Consider the following 23,422-nt stretch of genomic DNA (forward strand, 5'->3'; position numbering starts at 1 on the left):
GCCTGAAAGCCTTATTTTTCTTTTTCAGTGACATGAGGCATATGTGCTAGAAATTCTTCAACATCCTTTTCAGGTCCCTTAATATCATACTTGTCCTTCTTCTTATACCATAAGATCTGTAAGACCAAAGATTGTAACTCCTTCCTTTGGCCTGGTGATATCTTACATGATGAGATGCTCAGCAAAGTAATCTCGATCAAGTCTGGTGGATCAAAACTCTAGAATAATGGGTAGATGAATGGGTGACCCAGATGTATGCCAATTCTCTCTTTGTTTTAGTCTCACGCTCATACGGATGCAGAATTGGGCATCTCATTGAGTTTCTTAAAAAGGCATTCATTCATGCAAAAAGCTCTAATAAGCAAAGCAAATTCTATGAAACAATTTGTGAGAGTGTGAAAGGAAGAATTTACACCACATGCTTGACAGCCAATAATTTAAGAATTCCTAGAGATATTCTGAGTCTTCAAAGTCATTTTTTGGCTGTACCAGAGTTGTGTTTTCCCTTCTTGCTACTGCTCCCAGCACATTCAGCTTTTCTTGTCCATCTCCCATCTCTTGGATTCCCTTCCATTCCCAGCCCACCTCCAGGCCAAAAGAAAAAACAGAAACAAAAACAAAAACAACAAACCCAGCAAATAAACAATGTAACTTCATTATACCTAAATAGATTACTTAGTGACTTATCTCTGCAACATAGTATTTTGACAAGCAAAATTAAGGGCCAAGCCCACAGGGATACCTTCCTTAAAAAGCAGGTGGGGCTATAACTATCTTATTTCTGTCACAGCCAAATAAATGCAGAGATGAAGATGAAGTAATTGAACAAAGAGCATGGGACACGGAGTTAGCCATTTTTAAAAGATGCCATTTACTGATTGATCTTTCTATGCCAGGCTTAATCATCTGAATGTGCTATTATTCTCATCCTGTAGATCCAAAATATGGTGGTGGCAGAGCAGTTTTGGACTTGTTCGAGATGATAGATAGTATGCAGCATAGATGGAAGTAAGCCCAGAGCCATCTGATTCCAATGCTTTTCCTTGCCTCCCTCAACAGTTTGTTTTGGTGCCTTCTCTATGTAGCTTATTCTATAATTAGGCCAGCCATCTCTCTGAATGCCTGACTTCCCCAGGTAAAATAACGGCATCCCAGAAGCAGCTGATTAGACCTGAGCAGCTGTAGTTCCCCCCAAATTACTTTAACTGTCTTGACTTGAGCTTCACCGATGATCCCCTATAGGCCCTTGTAATCTGATAACAATTGGAGACTCAGCAAAGTGCTTATCAGCTATTTCACAATGATAAATGTTTGCCAGCAGAGCAAATAAAAAGGGATATCATAGAAAAGGCTCTTTATGTGGGAATGGCAGAGAAAGCACAGTGTTTAGGGGATATATGATTCTAACACCTAGGATAACTGTAATCTGTCAAGAAGAGCAAAATGGGAACATTTTTGGGGGGTAAGTTTTGCTTTTGTTTTCTGAAAATTATCGCAATAAAAGTCTGTCCAGTGGTAGAAGAGGATGAATATCAAAATCTGGACAGCCATTAATATGTAGCCACCAGCCACATGTAGATACTTAAAATTATGTATAATTAAATAAAAGAAAATAATAGAGGTGCTTAGTAACACTAGTCACATTTCAAGTGCTCAGTAGCCACATGTGGCTAGCAGCTACCTAGCTGGATAACACAAATATAGAAAATTCCAGCTGAGCATGGTGGCTCACACCTGTAATTTTAGCACTTTCAAAGGCTGAGGCCAGAGGATCACTTGAGCCTAGAAGTTTGAGACCAGCCTGGGCAACACGGTGAGAATCTATCTCTACAAAAAATAAAATGAACAAAAGATTAGCTGGACATGGTGACATGCTCCTGTGATCCCAGTTACTTGGGAGGCTGAAGTAGAAGGATCCCTTGAACATAGGAAGATGAGGCTTCAGTGAGCTGTGATGGCACCACTGCACTTCAGCCTGGGAAACAGAGTGAGACACTGCCTCAAAAAAAAAAAAAAAAAAAAAAGAAAGAAAGAAAGAAAGAAAGAAGGTAAAAGTAAAAAAAAAAAAAAATTCCACCATTGCAGAAACTTATATTGGACAAAGCTAGTCTAGTGCATAAAGTTTCAAGATTAAAGAAGGCCATCAGTGACAATGCAGAGCTAATTAGCAGAGTGAGCATTTGCAGGACAGTGCTAGGATCGAAACTGCAAGTCTTAGAATTGCTCCAACTCACACATTCATTAAATGAAAATAGCAGTATCTATTCTTTTTTAAAAAAACTGTGGTAAAGCACGCATAATATAAAATTTACTATCTTAACTACTTTTAAATGTACAGTTCAGTAGCGCTAAGTTTGTTCATGTTTGTTGTGCAACCAGTCTCCAGAACTATTTCAGCTTGCAAAACTGTGACTCTATATCCCTTAAACAGCAGTCCCCCATTTCCCCCTACCCCCTGCCCATCCCTGGAAACCACCATTGTACTCTCTGTTTCTATGAATTTGACTACTCTAGATACCTCGTATGAGTAGAATAATACAGTATCTGTCCTTTTTGTGACTGGTTTATTTCACCTGGGATAATGTCTTCAAGGTTCATCCATGTTGAAACATGTCAGAATTTCCTTCCTTTATAAGGCTAAATAATAGTCTATTGTTTATATATATGTTACATTTTGTTTATCTCTTTATCATTGATAAAGATACTAGACACATGGGTTAATTCCACTTGTAAGTGACTATAAATAATGCTGCTTTGAACCTCAGTATACAAATATCTCTTTAAGATCCTATTTTAATGTGTTCAGATACATAACCAGGAGTATAAATTGCTTCACGATATGGTAATTATTTTTATTTTTAATGGTGCTGGGATAACTGGCTAGCCCTACACAGGAGATTGAAACTGAACCCCTTCCTTATACCATATACAAAAATCAATCCAAGAGGGACTAAAGACTTAAATGTTAAACTCCAAACTATAAAAACCCTGGAAGACAGCCTAGGCAATACCATTCAGGACATAGGCACGGACAAAGATTTCATGAAGAAGATGCCAAAAGCAATTGCAATAAAAGCAAAAATTGACAAATTGAATCTAATTAAACTAAAAAGCTTCTGCACAGCACAAGAAACAACAGAGTAAACAGACAACCTACAGAACGGGAGAAAATTTTTGCCAACTATGCATCTGATAAAGGTCTGATATCCAGCATTTATAAGGAACATAAATAAATTTGTGAGAAAAAAACAAACAACCCCATAAAAAAGTGGGCAAAGGACATGAACAGACACTTTTCAAAAGAAGTCATACATGCAGCCAACAATCGTATAAAAAAAAGCTCGACATCACTGATCACTAGAGAAATACAAATCAAAACTGCAATGAGATACCATCTCACACCAGTCAGAATGGCTGTTATTAAACAGTCAGAAAATAACAGATGCTAGCTAGGTTGTGGAGAAAAGGGGACACTTATATACTATTGTTAGGAGTGTAAATTTTAAAAAACCTTTTAAGGAACTATCATGCTGTTTTCCATAGTAGCTGTACCATTTTACATTTCCACCAACAATGCACAAGTGTTCCAACTTCTCTGCATCATCACGAACACTTGTAACTTGCTGTGTTTTTTTAAAGAGTAGTCATCCTGAAAAATGTGATATTAACCCATTTTTAAAGGCTACTTTATTTCCAGAGATGTGGACACTGTTGTATGCTATTATTAGAGGAAATAATTTGTTTTTTTTTTACATTTCTGGTTAAAATGTAAACACATTTATTATAGAAAACTGAGAAAATATGGAGATGACTTAAGAAAAGAGTGAAAAATTAGCTATGGACTTACCTCCTAGGGATAGCTGGTGCTACTGTCTTGATATATGTTAAAAATATGTAAAAACATATAAAGATACTTTAGTTTTCCAAATGGAAACTATATGTACTGCCTCATAATTTGATTTTTGGTATTTAATAATACTTGAGCATTTTTATGTCATTAAACCATTTTAAGTGTTTTATAGTAAATAAGTAGTATTTAGTCATTTGGATATAATATACTTTATTAAATTTACCACTTAATTTTGGATTTACAGTATTTAAAATTTATTTGCTATTTCAATAACCTTGTAATGAATTCTTCTAAACATAAATCACTGCATAACCTGACTAGCCATATATGAAAATTTTCTAGGGCATAATTCTGGAATATGTTGGTCACAAGGTTTGAAATACTCATAAGAAAATAAACCTTTCCTTATTTAAGAATAATGTAGGCCTGGCACGGTGGTTCAGACCTGTAATCCTAGCATTTTGAGAGGCTGAGGCAGGTGGATTACCTGATCCCAGGATTTTGAGACCAGCCTGGGCAACATGGCGAAACCCTGTCTCTACAAAAAGTACAAAAATTAGGCAGGTGTCATGGTGTGTGCCTGTAGTCATAGCTAGCACTCAGGAGGCTAAGGTGGGAGGATCGCTTGATCCTGGTAGGTGGAGGTTGCAGTGGGCTGATATCATACCACTGCACTCCAGCCTGGGTGACAGAGGGAGGCCCTGCCTCAAAAATAAAAAAATAAAAATGTGAATAATAAAAAAGGAATAATATATAAACATTTTTTTAAAGTATGCTTATATGCATTGATGAATTATCCATATCAGCATAGCCAATACTTTCTTTTTTCAACAAGTCTTTTTAACATAAGCTGAGTATTTCCAGCTCATCCAGATTAATTTTTCCAAAAGCAAATAACAAGATGAGAATTTGTGCGCAAGTGAATTATTGAGTAAATCACCAGGGAAGGCCGTTGACATAGTGGGAGAAGCAGGATAGGGAAGGTGAGGAAGGGTGTGGTCAGAGTAAAAAATTCCTGCAGGGTAGCTTCAGTCTGACCTTGCGAGAGACCTCAGGAGTAGGGTATGTCTCAGGGTTGCCCTGCTCCACGTCACGGGGCCTGGATTCCTTATTCCCAGTGATAATCAGTGGTAATGACCCCATGGCGAGAGAAAATACAAACTCTCAGATCCTTTTGGCTCTCTGTGCCCTTGGACAAAACTTTGTCCATGAAGGTGCAGCAAGTACTGGCCATTGAAAGTCCCTGAGAGGCAAAGGTGGGAGTGAATGGGGCTGGAGGCAGGGCACAGACAAAGTACAAAGGATCTCAAGCCCCTATACTGTCCATTAAACCTATGTCCAGGAAACTCCCTCCTGCCCAGAAGAAGTCACCCTGAGTTTTAACACCATAGATAAGTTTGGCCTGTTTTTGAACTGTATATATAATAGAATTATACAGACAATACTGTTTTGTTTCTGCCTTTCTTTACGTATCATGATGTTTGTGAGACCCAGCCAAGTTGTTGCACATAGCAACAGCAGGCAGATTTTCAGTGTCATTTATGATTCCATTCCTTAAACATACCAACATTCATTTGTTCAGTTTACTGTTCTCGGACATCTGAGTTGTTTTTGCCTTAGAGATGTTATTGAATTTTGCCACTATGAACATGACTGTCCATAAGCTCTCATTTCTGAGGAAAGTAACGGCTGAGTCATAAGCTGGATAGGTCATAATACTTAGTTTTAGTATAGAAGCTGTTCTCGGAAGTGGTTGTATCAATAGATATGCCTACCAGAAGGTTATGAAAATTTTACTTTCTGTCCTCATCATAGGTGGTATTGCCGGTCTTAACATTTTAGCCATTTTGGTGGACACAGAGTGGTCTCTCATTGTGGTTTAATGTGTATTTCCTTAAAAAAGATGTTGAGCAACTTGTCATATGTTTCCTGGTTATTTGGATATTATCTTTTGTGAAGTGCCTACTTGTAACTATAGCTTTTAAAATTGGGTTTTCTGCCCTTTTTTGTACTGATTATTAGAATTTAAATATGTATATATATATAGCCTACTGTACATTTATTTATGATATAAATAAGTATATATTTGTATACACATATTCTGAATATGAGTCTTTTGTTGTTTATATATATTGCAAATATTTTCTACTTTATGACTTACATTTCTATTCTCTTATTGTTGACCAGAAATTCCTAACTTTAGTGTAGTCTAGCTGACCAATCTATCCTTTTTGGTTAATGCTTTTCAGGCCCCTTTGTCTACTCCAAGGTCATAAGAATATTATTCAATGTTATTTTCTAAAAGATTGTTTACCTGAAATGTATTTTTTATATATAGTATGGAGTAAGGATAAAGTTTCATTTTCTTTCCTTGTGGATATTCACTTGACCCAGTATAATTTATTGGACAAAAGTTCTTTCTGTACTATTCTATAGTTCTTTCTTACTCATAAATCAAATCTTCCTATCTGTATAGATCTGCTTCTGTTCTAATTTTTGAATCTTTGTGCCACTAGTACTCTCATATATACTATATCTTTATAATAAAATTTGATATCTATCAGAGTAATTCCTACAACTTTGTTCTTTGATAAGGGAAATAAGCCCTACATAAAGAACAAGCAAACAACCAACAAACCCAACAAACATAATCCTTTATGTTGTATATTCTAAAATTTAAAAACTCAAGTAACAGAAACTACCCTTTGTGTTTTGCCCACTCACTGCCATCCCCCTTACCTCTCCTGTGGAACTTCTGTGATCTTTTCAGATATTTATCAACATCCCATTTCAGAGAGCCCACTTATCTTGTTTACTGTGACTCTCCTAGTTTTCAAGACATAGATTGAAATCTATTCTCAAATATATATCTTACATCACTTATTGCTTGTATTAGGCCACTTTTGCTTTGCTACAGAGAAATACCTGCAACTGGGTAATTTGTTAAAAAAAAAAAAAACAAGAGGCTTAATTGGCTCACAGTTCTGCAGACTGTACAGGAAGCATGACACTGTCATCAGCTCAGCTTCTTTGGAGGCCTCAAGGAGACTTTACTCATAGTGGAAGGTGAAGTGGGAGAAGGAACATCACACGGTAAGATCAGGAGCAAGAAAGAGTAGGGGTTGGGGTTTGTCACACACGTAAAAAAAAAAAAATCAGATCTCCCAAGAACTCACTCGCTATTGCAAGGATAGCACCAAGGCATGAGGGAAGAACTCACTCACTATTGCAAGCATAGCACCAAGGCATGAGGGAAGAACTCACTCACTATTGCAAGGATCGCACCAAGGCATGAGGGATCTGCCCCCATGACCCAAACACCTCGACCATGCCCCACCTCCAGCACTAGGCATTACAGTTCAACATGAGATTCGGCAGGGCCATATATTCCAACTCTATTATAGCTCTTTCCCTGATTTTAAAATTTATGTTTGAACCATTTTTCATGCATCTATTATCAGGCTTTTGAGGTGGATGTCTTGCGAGCTCAGAGTCCCCCTCTGAAATGGATCTTCAAACTAATTCTGAAGTGGACTGTGCTTGTTTTGGGGAGGTAGTATGGGAGACATGGAATCTTGAGTGGTACTCATGAATAAGGCACAACCTGAGAAAACCCGGATCATTAAGAACTGAAGCAGTCATTCTTGCTTCTGGTTGGCATATTCTCCTCATTTCTTTCCACATGCAGATATTTTAGTAAACAATAATGGCCGGGTGTAGTGGCTCATGCCTATAACCCCAGCACGTCGGGAGGTCGAGGCGGGCAGATCACCTGAGGATGGGAGTTTGAGACCAGCCTGACCAACATGGAAAAACCCCGTCTCTATTAAAAAATACAAAATTAGCCGGGTGTGGTGGCACATGCTTGTAATCCCAGCTACTCGGGAGGCTGAGGCAGGAGAATCACTTGAACCTGGGAGGCAGAGGTTGCAGTGAGCTGAGATCGTGCCATTGCACTCCAGGCTGGGCAACAAGAGCAAGACTCTGCCTAAAAACAAAACAAAACAAAAAACAAACAAACAAAAAACCCAAAAAAAAAACCCAAAAAACAAAAACACATGTTTTAACATTTCTGTGTTGCAGTCTTATGTTCATACACACGCACACACACATATAAGGTTGTAATCTTGGCTCTCAAGACAAATGGAAAAGGGTTACAAAGTGCAAATCGAATGCACATATGGTAAGACCCTTTGAGGTCTCCATTTTTTATTGTTCTTCTTCCTCCCCTCTGCCTCCTAGGGATTCTTCAGCAAAGCTTTATCTCTGAGAGATTTACAGTTCAATAAGGCTTTTGCTTTTTTACATAGGAAGCACAGACTGAGTCTGACTATCTGGTTTTCTATCTTTTCTGTGCTCCCCACACTCCTTATTTAAAACGGATAATTTTCTTTGCATATGCTCCATTTCAAACACTAGACTGTTCTGAATCTTGGAGTTATCAAGGTGTCTTACCCCTGCTCATGTGTTTGTTAAACTGTAATGGCACCCTGCCAATAAAATGCTTTAGGAGATAAGGTAGGACCTCATAGATGGCACCAAGTGACAGTGTTCTTCTTATGGCTCCTTAATCATGGAAGAGAACACCTGGAAAATTCATTATCTTGTCAAATGGGAACAAAGTATATGAAGGAAAATTAGGTTCACAAAGGAGTGATGAAATCTGGCTGGGCACAATGGCTCACACCTATAATCCCAGAAATTTGTGAGGCCAAGGTGGAAGATACATTGGAGGCCAGTAGTTTGAGACCAGCCTGGGCAACTTAGCAAGAACCCACCTCTACAAAAAATTAAGAAATCAGTCAGGCATGATGACATGAGCCTTTAGTCCTTGCCACTCGAGAGGCTGAGGCAGGAGGATTGCTTGAGCCCAGGAGTTCTAAGTTACAGTTAGCTATAATTACACCACTGCATTCAAACCTGAGTGATAGAGTGAGACTTTGTCTCTATTTTTTTTTTAAAAGAAGAATAATAAAGTTCTTTACTATGTCCTTTATAGCATGTCAGTGAAAGTTTTCCAAACCTTATAAAGAAACTAGAGAAACCTTCAACACATGTTTGTATAAGGTTCCCCATGGGAAGATCAAAATACTCATACTTTTGAGAAAGGGAAGATCTTTATCTACAGGTTTGGAAAATTGTAGGGCTGCTAAAGCATCCAGAGCATCCAAATAAATGAGTGTCCAAATAAAGCTCAGTCACCTCTGCATTTTTCTAGTATATTTAAAACCACCCTTGAATCAAGTACCTATACCCCTGTATTTTCCTTCACTGAGTATGGCAGACTCTCTATGAAATTGTCTGCATCAATATAAGAATAAGCCTTTGAAGTATCATCACTGAAGTCTCTGAGCTCTTAAGAGTGCTCATCCTAAAAACCATCCTAAAAGCAACCAGTGGTTTCTCTTCTGTCTACAATAAATGGACCAAACGCTTCTCTCCAGGATGAGTTGTTTTACTGAGATTGATTTCTCTATTGTTCAGACCTTAATTTTTAATTATAACTTTTAATTTTGAAATAGTTTGTCTCACTAGTAGTTACAAAAATGGGACAGAGTTCCTGTGTACTTTTCACCAAGCTTCTCCCAAATGCCAATATTCTAAAATACATGATACATTGTTGATACTGTCTGAATGTTGGTGCCCTCTCCCTTCCAAAACATGTGTGTATATATATATGTGTGTGTGTATACATACACACACACATATATATACACACACATATATACACACACACATATATATACACACACACATATATATACACACACTTATGCACACACACTAATACTGTTACAGTATTAAGAGGCAGGGCCTTTAGGGAAGTGATTAACTCATGAAGGATCCACCTTCATGAATGACATTAGTGGCCTTAGAAAAGAGGTTTAAGGGAGTTGCCTGGCCTCTTCCACCACGCACAGGCACAGGAGACATCATTTATGAGAAACAGGCCCTCACCAGACACTGAATCTGCTGGCACCTTGATCTTGGACTTCCCAGCCTCCAGAACTGTGAGCAATAAATTTCTATTGTTTATATTACCCATTGTAAGGTATTTGTTATAGCAGCCCAAGTTGACTAACACAATTACCCAAACCAGGAAATTGACACTGGTACAGTAATATTAACTACAAGACAAATCTTATTGAGATTCCAAAAGGATGAAATCATGTCCTGAATTTTCAGTAACATGGATGCAACTGGAAGCCATTTTCCTGTGTGAATTAATGCAGGAACAGAAAACCCAAATACCACATGTTCTCACTTATAAGTGGTAGCCCAACGTTGAGTACTCATGAAGTTAAAGACTAGAATGATAGACACTGTGCTCTACTTGAAAGTGGAGGGTGGGAGGAGGATGGGGGTTAAAAAAATATATCTATTGGGTACTATACTTACTACCTGGGTAATGAAATGATTTGTACACCAAACCCCAGTGACACAGGATTTATTCAGGTAACAAACCTGCACATGTACCCCGTGAACCTAAAAGTTGAAAAAGGAAAAGAGTATCATCTTTTTCTTTACAAAATACTTCTTTTATTAATCTCAGGATTTTCAAAACATTTATTCCAAACCTAGGGATTGTGTATTTTTTAATACAAAAAATAGGATAAAAGTCTATTTAATAAAATGGAACACGGATCCTCCTGAAACAGGAGGATCACTTGAGTCCAGGAGCTTGAGGCTGCAGTGAGCTATGACGGTGGAACTTCACCTCACCCTGGGCAAGAGAGCAACACAGGCTGTCTCTATAAACAACAATAAAATAAAATAAATCAGAAATTTTAGTACACGAATATTTCATTTTACTTAAGGTTTGGGTTTCTGCACTAAAACTAAACTAAATAGTAAAATATTTATGTAAATGATCTAACATATGGGACTTAAAATGAACTATAGCAGTTAAAATGTATTATAATTTTCAACATTCATGTCTTATGAAATGCTTCTAGGCATTGGATCCTGGTTAGCTGGAAGTTATATGCATCTGTAGAAAAGCTTGCACTTGTACTTTCTAATCATAGCTTAAGTTTGTAATAGTTGACGCTTTTTTCGATTGCTGACATTTAAAAATGTAATTGTATTTTATTTTTATATATGCTAGTCATATTGTTAATAACACATTTGAATGTTTGATTGGCTTTGTGAAGTTTGAGCGTGTCTAGCATTAAGTTAATGCCTCTGAGAAACTGAGGTCTTAAACTAGATTTTCTCCAAGTAAAACGAATATAGAAATAATATATTTTTTCAAGCCAAACCTCAAGAGCTTGTATTTCTTTCATTTCTCTTTACTAATCATATGGAATCTAAGGTACTAGGGATTTTTTTGATTCCTCAGTGGAATTTTTAATATTTTGGCTGGTACTCTCTTAAGGTACTACTTAGGATATTCTCATTGTACCAATACATATATAACCTGATATATTAAAGTGGCAAGAGAATGGTAGATGTGAAATAAGTGTGTTCCTACATTATCAGAAATTAAATCATAGGAGACAGAATTGGTTTATTCAACCAGGAAGCAAATATAGGTATCTTGTACTTAACATTGAGTACTAAGTCATTGTAGGTAGTATCAGATAATGATGAAACGAAACTATTGTGCAGAGTTTTGAAGACAGAGCTGGTCTGGTGGAGGTGTTTCTTTTCTTTTTTTTTTTTTTAACCATCCTAAGGTAGAGAAGATCCCTCTTTCATAGTATTCTGACTATCTAAGTAACCTCTGCTATCTTTGAATTTACCAGTGACAACTGTTGAAATGCCAACAGCGTCAGATTGAAAATCAGCATAAAGTCCTGAAGCAACACTATAGATCAGATAAGTACTTGCAGCCATGGAGAGTGAACAATTATAATTGATTCTAGAAAAGTGATTCTCAAAGTGTGGTCCCTGGACTAGTGGCAGCAGCATCAGGGAATTTATTTATTTATTTATTTATATTTCCAACTTTAAAGTTCAGGGGTACATGTGCAGGATGTTCAGGTTTGTTACATAGTTAAATGTGTGCCATGGTGGTTTGCTGCACAGATCATCCCATCACCCAGGTATTAAGCCCAGCATCCATTAGCTATTCTTCCTGATGCTCTCCCTCCTTCCCCCCCACACCCTCCAACAGGCCCCATTGTGTGTTGTTCCCCACTATGTGTTCATGTGTCCTCATCATTCAGCTCCCACTTATAAGTGAGAATATGCGGTATTTGGTTTTCTGTTCTTGAATTAGTTTACTGAGGATAATGGCTTCCAGCTCCATCCATCTCCCTGCAAAGACATGATCTTGTTCCTTTCTATGGCTACATCGTATTCCATGGTGTACATGTACCACATTTTCTTTATCCAGTCTACCGTGGATGGGCATTTAGATTGGTTCCATGTCTTTGCTATTGTACATAGTGCTGCAATTAACATACACATGCATGGATCTTTATAATAGGATGATTTATATTCCTTTGGGTAGATACCCAGTAATGGGATTGCTGGGACAAATGGTATTTCTGCCTCTAGGTCTTTGAGGAATTGCCATACTGTCTTCCATAATGGTTGAACTAATTTACACTCCCACCAAGACTATAAAAGCATTCCTTTTTCTCCTCAACCCTGACAGCATCTGTTGTTTTTTTCACTTTGTAGTAATAGACATTCTGACTGGTGTGAGATGATATCACATCTTTTCGATTTGCATTTCTCTAATGTTCAGTGATGTTTAGCTTTTTTTCACATGTTTGCTGGCCACATGTATGTCTTCTTTTGAGAAGTTCTCTTCTTGACCTTTGCCCACTTTTTAATGGGGTTGTTTTTTCTTGTAAATTTGTTTAAGTTCCTTGTAAATTCTGGATATCAGATGTTTGTCAGATGGGTAGATTACAAAAATTGTCTCCCATTCTGTAGGTTGTCTCTTCACTCTGATTATAGTTTCTTTTGCTGCGCAGAAGCTCTTTAGTTTAATTAGAACCCATTTGTCATTTTTTGCTTTTGTTGCTGTTGCTTTTGACATCTTTGTCATGAAATCTTTCCCTGTGCCTATGTCCTGAATGGTATTGCCTAGGTTGTCTTCTAGGGTTTTTATAGCTTTGGATTTTACACTTAAGTCTTTAATCTATCTTGAGTTGATTTTTGTATATGGTGTAAGGAAGTTTTAATCTTTTGCATATGGCTAGCCAGTTATCCCAGAACCATTCATTAAGCAGGGAATTCTTTTGCCATTGCTTGTTTTAGTCAGGTTTGTGGAAGACCAGATGGTTGCAGGTGTGCAGTCTTGTTTCTGAGTTCTCTATTCTATTTCATTGGTCTATGTGTCTGCTGTTGTAGTAGTCTTATGCTGTTCTGGTTACTGTAGACTTGTAGTATAGTTTGAGGTTGAGTAGTGTGAGGCCTCCAGCTTTGTTCTTTTTGCTTAGGGTTGTTTTGGCTATATGAGCTTTTTTTTGGTTCCATATGAATTTTAAAAGTTTTTTTTTTTTAATTGTGAAGAATGTCAATGGTAGTTTAATGGGAATACAATTGAATTTATAAATTGCTTTGGGCAGTATGGACCTTTTTATGATGTTGATTCTTCCTATCCGTTGCCATGGACTGTTTTTCCATTTGTTTGTGTCATCTCTGATTTCTTTGAGCAGTGGTTTTTGTTCTCCCTGAAGCGGTCCTTCACTTCCCTTGTTAGCTGTATTCCTATGTACTTTATTATTTTTTTGTGGCAATTGTAACTGGGAGTTCATTCATGATTTGGCTGTCAGCTTGCCTGTTGTTGTTGTGTAGGAATGCTAGTGATTTTTGCACATTGATTTTGTATCCTAATACTGCCAAATTTGCTTATCAGCTTAAGAAGCTTTTGAGCTGAGTCAATGAGGTTTTCTAGATAAAGAATCATGTCATCTGCAAACAAAGACAGTTTGACTTTCTCCCTTCCTATTTGAATACTCTTTCTTTCTTTCTCTTGCCTGATTGCCCTGGCCAGAACTTCCATTACTATGTTGAATAGGAGTGGTAAGGGAGGACATCTTCATCTTGTGCTGGTTTTCAAGGGGAATGCTTCCAGCTTTTGCCCATTCAGTATCATATTGGCTATGGGTTTGTCATATATGGCTCTTATTATTTTGTGGTATGTTCTTTCAAAACCTAGTTTACTGAGAGTTTTTAACATGAAGCGATGTTTAATTTTATCTAAGGCATTTTCTGTATCTATTGAGATAATCATCTGGTTTTTTTCTTTAGTTCTGTTTATGTGATGAATCGCATTTATTGATTTGTGTATATTGAACCAAACTTGCATCCCAGGGATGAAGTCTACTTGATCATGGTGTATAAGCTTTTGGATGTGCTTCTGGATTGTTTGCCGGTATTTTGTTGAGGATTTTTGAATTGATGTTCATCAGGGATATTGGCTTGAAGTTTTCTTCTTTTGTTGCGTCTCTTCCAGGTTTTTGTATCAGGATGATTCTGTCCTCATAAAATGTGTTAGGAAGAAGTCTCTCTTTTTCAATTTTTTTGAATGGTTTCAGTAGAACTAGTACCAGATTTTCTTTGTACTTCCAGTAGAATTCAGCTGTAAATCTGTCTGGTCCTGGGCTTTTTTGGTTGGTAGGCTATTTATTAGTGCCTCAATTTTAGAACTTGTTATTGATCTATTCAGGGATTCAATTTCTTCCTGTTCAGACTTGGGAGTGTGTAAGTGTCCAGAAATTTATTCATTTCTTCTAGATTTTCTAGTATATGTGCATAGAGGTGTTTATAGTATTCTCTGATGATTGTTTGTATTTCTGTTGGGTCAATGGTGACATCTCCCTTATAATTTCTAATTGTGTTTATTTGAATCTTCTCTCTTTTCTTCTTTATTAATCTAGCTAGTAGTCTATCTATTTTATTAATTTTTCCAAAAAAGACAGCTCCTAGACTCATTGACTTTTTGAAGAGTTTTTCCCATCTGTATCCGTCAGTTCAGCTCTGATCTTGGTTATTTTTGCCTTCTGCTAGCTTTGGGGTTTGTTTGTTCTTGGTTCTCTAGTTCTTTTAGTTGTGATTTAGGTTGTTAACTTGAGATCTTTCCAACTTTTTGATGTGGGCATTTAGTACTATAAATTTCTCTCTTTACGCTGCTTTAGCTGTGTCCCAGAGATTCTGGTACATTGTATCTTTGCTGCCATTAGGTTCAAAGAACTTCTTGATTTCTGCCTTAATTTTGTTATTTATCCAAAAGTCTTTCAGGAGCAGGTGGTTCAACTTCCATTTAGTTGTGTGGTTTTAAGTGAATTTCTTAATCTTGAGTTCTAATTTTATTGCACTGTAGTCTGAGAGACTGTTATGATTTCTTTTGTTTGCTGAGGAATATTTTCCTTTGGCTTATGTTATCAATTTTAGAGTAAGTGCTGTGCAGTGATGAGAAGAATGTATATTCTGTTGTTTTGGGGTGGAGAGATCTGTGGACATCAGGTCCACAGCATCCATAGCTGAGTTCAGGTCCTGAATGTCTTTATTAATTTTATGTCTCAATGATCTGTCTAATATTGTCAGTGAGGTGTTAAAGTCTCCCACTATTATTGTGTGGGAGTCTAAGTCTCTTTAAGGTCTCTAAGAATTCACTTTATGAATCTGGATGCTCCTATATTGGGAGCACATATATTTAGAATAGTTAGTTCTTCTTGTTGAATTGAACCCTTTAGCATTATGTAATGCCCTCTTTGTCTTTCTTTGATCTTTGTTGGTTTAAAGTCTGGTTTGTCAGAAACTACTATTGCAACCTCTCCTTTTTTCTGTTTTTCATTTGCTTGGCAAATTTTCCTCTATCCCTTTATTTTAAGCCTTTTTGTGCCTTTGCATGTGACATGGGTCTCTTGAAGACAGCATATGTGTCTTGATTCTTTATTCATCCTGCCATTCTGTGTCTTTCAACTGGGGCATTTAGCCCATTTACATTTAAGGATAGTATTGTTTTATGTGGATTTGATCCTGTCATTATGATGCTAGCTGGTTATTTTGCAGACTTGTTTATGTGTTTGCTTCATAGTGTCACTGGTCTGTGTACTTCAGTGTGTTTTTGTAGTGGATGGTAACAGCTTTTCCTTTCCATATTTAGTGCAGCCTTCAGGAGCTCTTGCAACGCAGGTCTGGTGGTGGCAAATTCCCTCACCATTTGCTTGTGTGAACAGAATCTTATTTCTCCTTTACTTATGAAGCCTAGTTTGTCTGGACATGAAATTCTGGGTTGGAAATTCTTTTCTTTAGGAATGTTGAATAGAGGCCCCCAAATTCTTCTGGCTTGCAGAGTTTCCACTGAGAGGTCCACTATTAATCTGGTAGGCTTCCCTTTGTAGGTGATGTGGACTTTCTCTCTGGCTGCCCTTAACATTTTTTTTCTTTCCTTTCAAACTTAGAGAATCTGAAGATTTTGTGTCCTGGAGATGACTTTCTTGTGGAGTATCTTACTGGGGTTCTCTGCATTTCCTGAATTTGAATGTTGACCTGTCTTTCTAGGTTTGGGATGTTCTCCTGGATGATATCCTGAAGTATGTTTTCCATCTTGGTTCCATTCTCCCTGTCTCTTTCAGGTCCACCAATCAGTCATAGGTTTGGCCTCTTTACATAATCCCATATTTCTCAGAGGTTTTGTTCATTCCTTTTTTCTTTATTATTGTCTGTGTTTCTTAATTCAGAAAGCCAGTCTTCCCACTCTGAGATTCTTTCCTCTGCTTGATCATTTCTGCTAATAATCCTTGCAATTGCATTGTGAAATTCTTGTGGTGTGTTCTTCAGCTCAAAAAGGTCAGTTATGTCCCTCTATTTACTGGCTATTTTGGCTGTCAGCTCCTTTATTGTTTTATCATGATTCTTAGCTTCTTTGAATTGGGTTACAATGTGCTCCTTTAGCCCGGTGAAATTGTTGTTGCCCACTTTCTGAAGCCTACTTCTGTCATTTTAGCTGTCTCAGCCTCAGCCCACTTTTGAGTCCTTGCTGGAGAGGTGTTGCGGTCATTTGGAGGAAAAGAGGCACTAAAGCTTTTTGAGTTTTCAGTGTTTTTTCATTAATTCTTTCTCATCTTTGTGGGCTTATCTACCTTAGATCTTTGAGGTTGCTTACATTTGGATGGGGTTTTTGTGGTTTTTCTTTGTTGTTCTTGTTGTGGTGGTTTTCTGTTTTTGTTTTTCTTTTAACAGTCTGGCCATTCTTCCATAGGGCTGCTGTGGTTTGCTGGGGGTTCTCTCCAGAGCCTAGTTGCCTCGATTCTTTCCATACCTGGAGGTATCACCAGTGAAGCCTGCAAAACAACGAAGATGGCAGCCTGCCCTTTCCTTTGGAAGCTCTGTCCCAAAGGGGTGCTGACCAATTGCTGGCCCAAATGTGCCTGTAGGGGGTGGTTGGAGACCCAGTGGGAGGTCTCACCCAGTCAGGAGGTATGGGGTCAGGGACCCACTTAAAGAAGCAGTCTGGCTGTTTTTCGTTTGAGCAGCTGTGCTGTGTTGGGGATCCCTTCAGTCCCTGATTGGTCTGGGCTCTCTAAGGCCTGTAGACTGGACCAGCTGAGGAGCCTGAATGGCCAAGTTGGTGGCCTGTCTTGCCCCTAAGGTCCTCTGTCCCAGGGAGAAATTGAAGCTCTGGCAGCTCCATAGAACATGGAGCAGTGGCCAGAAACCCTGGCTGGGAGGACCCTCACTGTGAGGAGAAGTGAATTAGGGTCCCATTTAAAGAAGCTGCCTGGTCATGTCTCTACAAAACAGCTGTATTGTGGTGGGGAACTGCCTCTGCCCCTGTCAGCTTGGACTCTCTGTAGCCCGCAGGCTGTAACAGCTGAATTGTCCAACCAACCTAGGTGGCAGCCTTCCCCTCCCCCAGGCACTCTGTCTCAGGGACAGATCAGAGCTCTGTCAGTAATAAAGTGCCAGCAGTTGTGGCTGGAAGGTCCCACCCAGTGAGGAGGACTGGATCCAGGCCCTGCTTAATGAACCAGTCTTGCCATATCTGGCAAAGCCTCTGTGTTGCATTGCTTGGGGGGACCCTTCCTTGTCTCGACTGTTTGGACTCTTCAGAACCCACAGGCTGGAATGAGGGAATCCACCAAACAGCAGAGATGGCACCTGCCCCTCCCATCAAGAGCTCCGCTCAATCTCAGGCAGTCTTCACCTTGTTGCGGGTAGCTGGCTGGAATTCCAAGCCAGTGGGTCTTATCTTGTGAGGTGCTGTGGAAGTGGGGCCTGCAGAATGAGGCTATTTGGCTCCCTGGATTCCACCTCCTTTCTAGGGGTATGCATGGACCTCCTGCCATGTCTGAGTTGCAGATATATTTGTTAGGGATCCTGGGGATGGAGTATGTCAAGTTCTTAGGTCTCTCTGCATGTCTGAGCAGCTATTCTGCCAAGACTCCACAAAGCCCTGTGTGTTGAGCTCAAGGCCCTAGTGGAGTGGGCTCCCAAGGGGATCTCCTGATCCACGGGTTGCAAAGATCCAGAAGTGTGGTTTCCCAGGGTCACACAGTCACTCACTGCTTCCCTTGGCTGGGGGTGAGGGTTCCCTTGGCTCTGCATCACTCTTGGGTGGGCTGTCACCCCACCCTGCTTTTCTTCGTTCTCCATGGGTTGAGTTGTTTCTCTGATAAGTCCCAGTGCAACTACCTGGATATTTCAGTTGAAGGTGCTGTATTCACTCGCTCCTTTTCATCCTCTCCACGAATGCCATGGACTGTAGATGCTTCTACTCGGCCATCTTGGCCCCCTCCAACCAGGGAATTTATTGGAAATGCAAATTATCAGCCACTCCCCAAATTTACTGAATCAGAAATTCAGTGAACAAAGCCCAGCTATTTGTTTTAAACAAACCTTCCGGGCAATTCTGATGCACAATGAGTCTTGAGAACCATCATTCTAAAACAAAATAATCTGACTGCAAATCTACAGCATAATGTGATAGAAACAAAAAGAACTGCCCAAAATCGAACTCAGTCACTAATTATATTTTTGCACTAACATTAAATTATTATTTTGAATTTTTTCTTATATTTTTAGTAAATTTTAAAAGATATGTTTGTTAGGACTCAATATGCTTAGTATAAGAGAAAATAAAATAAAATTTAGGTGTGGGCACTGTACTATTAGAGTTGAATCAGAAACATAAAAAGCAAAATCATGTAAGTTTTCAAAGAAATTCAGAATACATCTTTATTAGCTTTGCCCAAAGAAATAGCCAAGGACATGTGCCCCACACCACCCCACCACAATTATTCACAGCATCACTCAGATTCTTGTCTATTCAATTCTATTTTCCCATTATGAGAAACCATGGTGCCTTGAAAATAAGTAGCTGATTCTTTGTCTGGGTTGAAAGGGGAAAAGTGAGCCTATATAATTATGTTGTGCCAGAAAGCAAAAATATGTCACAAATAATGCAGTCACATTGAAATAATCTAATTTGCAATGATCTAAGCATAATTTGAAGGGAGCTTCTATTGGCCAAGATGAGGCAATTGGGCCTCAAAAGATTATTGACAAAGATCAATGATATACAGTAAATCTGAAAAGGCATAAATCCATAATGACATACCAAAGGAGAAAACATTGGCATAAAGATATCTAAGTGAAGGTCAGTAGAATATGAAAGTAATATTTTTGGTCTTGCTATTCAAAACAGGTTGGTATTATTGACTTATTTATTGTGTCAATAAAAAATACAGAAACTAGTAAATGTAAATTTATTACTTAGCAACTTTTTTTTTTTCTGATTCATTGGGAAAGTCAGTAGAACAGTCCTATAAATTGGTATCCCTAATCAGATAAAGGCACATAAAATATGAAAAACTCACATGAAAGAATTCCAAGTATTTTGTAAACATTGTGTTATCTCCTACCAAGTTTAAATATCTAGAATCAAAAGAAGAACAATGTTTATATTTATGAGTATATAAAATCTTGGGTGAAAGCTGCAGCTTTTTATTAGTAGAAAGAATGATTAGATAATCTGCTGAACTTGAATTTAGGAAAACACTGTTCTCTTAAAATTATGAAATTTGATATAATAACCATAAAATAGCTTCCAAATCAAAGTATCTATTTGTAGAGAATGTCATTATTTTTTAAAAGGGTTGAAGAAGCTTGAGGTCTTTGCAGTTGTGCTAATCAAGATGTGGAGTACAGGTTTCAAGGACTATGAATTCAGCCTGTGATGATTTCAATGCTTTCTCAGCTATTCTTTCTAGCATCTGTCTCTACACACTGTTGTCATTCTCAAAGGCCCACTTCTATTCCAAATTCCTTTTCAGTCTAACTATGAGTTTCCAGGCCAACACTGGACTCTACAATAATCCAGCTGGGTCACTGGGTGTATCTGTGCAAAGGGATTTAGAGAAAGAACTGCTTCACACTCAGAGAGACTTTGCCTTGTGAGTTTTCTCATTGACCTCTGTGGGATACACATAATTCATTGAATGTTAATGCTGCACTATGATGCAAGAATCCTCAAACAAGCCACAGACATGTCAAAATAGCCACCAAAGCAATGTGAGTATGACTCTTCTGTGAGCAGAAGATATCACTTAAATGCTAGAAAAAAATCCCAAATTTTACCCCAATGGGGAAGCTTTATCCTAGAGGAGAAAATGGAAGTTACCCTATGTTGCCCACAACTGAGTGAATAAAGACCACAAGTGAGTCCTGAATAGCTACGTGGGAGCAGAAAAATAGCTCGAGGACTATTGATGTGAAATGAAAAATCACTAATTCTAAGATTTCTAGGCCTTTAATGTGTTTACCAATTATGTCTACTCTATTAAAGTCATCTCTGTGAAATACTTATGAATAAATACTGTGACTCTTTTTTTTCCAAATGTGTATCTGCATCACCTTTCAGATACACATATAATTTCAGATATACATATAATTTATGTTTTTACTATAATTTCTTTGTTTTCAAATTGTAACATTAAAAATATCTTCAGACAGTATATTTTAACTTCTTTACTATTTTTCCCCATGGCCTCTTTTCAAAATATGTACTTGAACAGATTTTCAAATGTGTCTTGCAAGCCTTTTGAAGGTTATTTATTAATGAGTTCAACATCCTTGGCCCCCTGTGGGTCCCAAAACTATACCTGAAAAAATGGGAGCTGAGCTATCTTCTGTTATAATCAATTACAAAATAAACCTATAAAATTGATGAGTTAGAAACAGAGAGTGAGATGAGCATCTGGCTATGGCTATCGGATGCTCTCATTTTCTGAAATTTTTAGAGAAATAAATGATGAAAGAAAACATATTTTAAAAGTTGTAAGTTTGTTTGCTATAAAATCCTTTCTAAGACTGTCTTTTTTCATGACTTTAATTTTTACTAGCATGTCAGTAATTGCTCACCAATTTACACACATACACATACACAACTCGGCTAGTAATTATATCAAAATTCTAGATCAATTTGAAGAGAATCTTCACATGTTATAGTTCTCAATTTATTTAGATCTGTACTTTCTCTATAGGTATCTTGTGAATTATGCACATACATATACACATGATTGTATAAATTATGTATATGTAATCTATGTATAGTTCTATACATATGTATAATTATAATTGGTACTTACATTTCATTTTCTAATTGCTGTTAAAGTAGAAATGTGATTGACTTTCATATATTAACTTTGTATCCAGTGAACTTGTTAAATTCACTTGTTTGATTTAATACATCAGAGCTTTTTAATTTTTATGTTTTTAATAACTATAGGCAAATATAGTGTGAGTGATGATAGTTTTATTTCTGACTTTCCAATTCTATTAATTTTCTTGCCTTATTGCACTGGCTACCACTTCCAGAAGAATGCCAATTAGAAGTAGTCTTCTATTGCCTGAGTCTTGATCTCAGGAGGAAAGTTTATAATGTTTTGCCATTAAGAGTCAATGTATGTGTTTCTATAGGTGTTTGTTTGTTTTTATTTTTAATATCATTTATCCACTTAGGAAAGTTCACTTCTATTTCTAGTTTGCTTAAGGTCTTGCTTTGCTTAAATACCGGTTAGACATTAATTTTATCAACTTTGTTATGCAACTAAAAACAATCACATGAACTTGTTTTCTATTTCTTTTTGGGTTAGTTTTAGTAAGTTGCATTTGTTAATTAAGTTTTCATTATTATCTAAATTTTCCAATAATGGCATAGAGTTGTTCATAATAACTTCCTCATTTAACATATGTTAGAGCTGTAGTGATTACCCCTCTAGTATTGGTAATTTATGATTCATCTCTTTTTAATCTTGATCAGCTTTGCTAGGAAATTACTGGTTTTATTATTTATTTCAACAAATTGACCTCTGGCTTTGTTGATTCTCTACATTTTATATTTATTTGCATAATGCTATTGTTTTGATGTGATTCGTCCCAGCCAAAACTCATATTGAATTTCATCTCAATGTAGCAGTATTGGAAATGAAGTCTGGAAGGAAGTCTTTGGCTCATGGTGGTAGATCCCTCATACGTAGATTAATGCACTGGGGGTGAATGAAATCTTGCTGTAGTGGAAATGGATTAGTCTGGCTAGTGGTCTATCTATTTTACCAAGAGTCTGGGTTCCTTATTTGCCCTCTCTTGCTTCCACTCTCATCATGTGAATTTTTTTTTCACACACTGGCCCCCCTTCCACTTTCTGCTATGAGAGGAAGCAGCCTGAGGTCCTCACCATATACAGTTGCACAGTTTTGAAGTTTTCAGCCACCAGAATTGTTAGCCAAATAAACCTATTTTCTTTATAAATTATCCAGCCTTGGGCATTCTGTTATAACAACACTAAATGGACTAAGACACCTTTTATTCTATTCTGCTTATTTTTTCCTGCTTTGAGCTCATTTGACATTCTTTTAATATCTTTAAAAACACATCTAGGCCATGAATTTTTAATCTTTAAAAAAAAACATATATACTTAGGCCTAGAAATCTTAACTACAGTGTAACCTCATCCAGTGAGATAATTTTTAGTTACATCTTTTTTTTATTGTTTTATTCTTTGGAGACAGGTTCTCATTTTCTCATTTAGGCTGGACTGCAGTGGCACAATCATAGCTCACTGTAACGTGGAACTCCAGGGCTCACATAATCCTTCTACCTCAGCCTCCTGAGTAGCTGGGAATACAGATGTGCATCATCATGCCTGGTAATTTGTTTACTTTTTGTTGAGACAAGGTTTAGCTATATTGCCCAGGAGTGGTCTCAAACTCCTGGCCTCAAGTGATCCTCCTGCCTTGGCCTCTCAAAGTGCTGAGATTATATTTACATTTATTTATGTTTTATTTACTTTAAAATGCCTTCTAATTTTTATTGACCTATTGTTAATTTAGAAGTTTTTGCTTACTTTCAAAGTTAAAATATAGTTATCCTTATGTTGTTAATTTCAAGCTTAATTCTCCATGATCGGAACATACTTTGATTTAGTTCCATGTCCAAAAAAAATATTCTGTAGATGTTGGTTATAGTCTTCTATAAGTGTTAAGTAGGCAGAATTTTTAAATTTTATTTTTAATCTTCAACATCCTTTCTTATTTTTTATCTGATTTTATCAATGCCTTATTCTATCAGTGACTGAGAAGAGTGTGCCAAGATTCCCTTGATGAT

General features: G+C 37.4%; 2 annotated features.

The window, feature by feature from the left end:
• Window positions 17,241-17,742: an enhancer, noted in NCBI's record as "H3K27ac hESC enhancer chr4:10855215-10855716 (GRCh37/hg19 assembly coordinates)". NCBI's record gives its function as "activates a minimal SCP1, AML or CMV promoter by ChIP-STARR-seq in naive and primed H9 embryonic stem cells {active_cell/tissue: H9 hESC(naive and primed)}" and the evidence as "EXISTENCE:reporter gene assay evidence [ECO:0000049][PMID:30033119]".
• Window positions 17,743-18,242: an enhancer, noted in NCBI's record as "H3K27ac hESC enhancer chr4:10855717-10856216 (GRCh37/hg19 assembly coordinates)". NCBI's record gives its function as "activates a minimal SCP1, AML or CMV promoter by ChIP-STARR-seq in naive H9 embryonic stem cells {active_cell/tissue: H9 hESC(naive)}" and the evidence as "EXISTENCE:reporter gene assay evidence [ECO:0000049][PMID:30033119]".

This window comes from Homo sapiens, chromosome 4 (genome assembly GCF_000001405.40).
Source record: "Homo sapiens chromosome 4, GRCh38.p14 Primary Assembly".
NCBI classification, from domain to species: domain Eukaryota; kingdom Metazoa; phylum Chordata; class Mammalia; order Primates; family Hominidae; genus Homo; species Homo sapiens.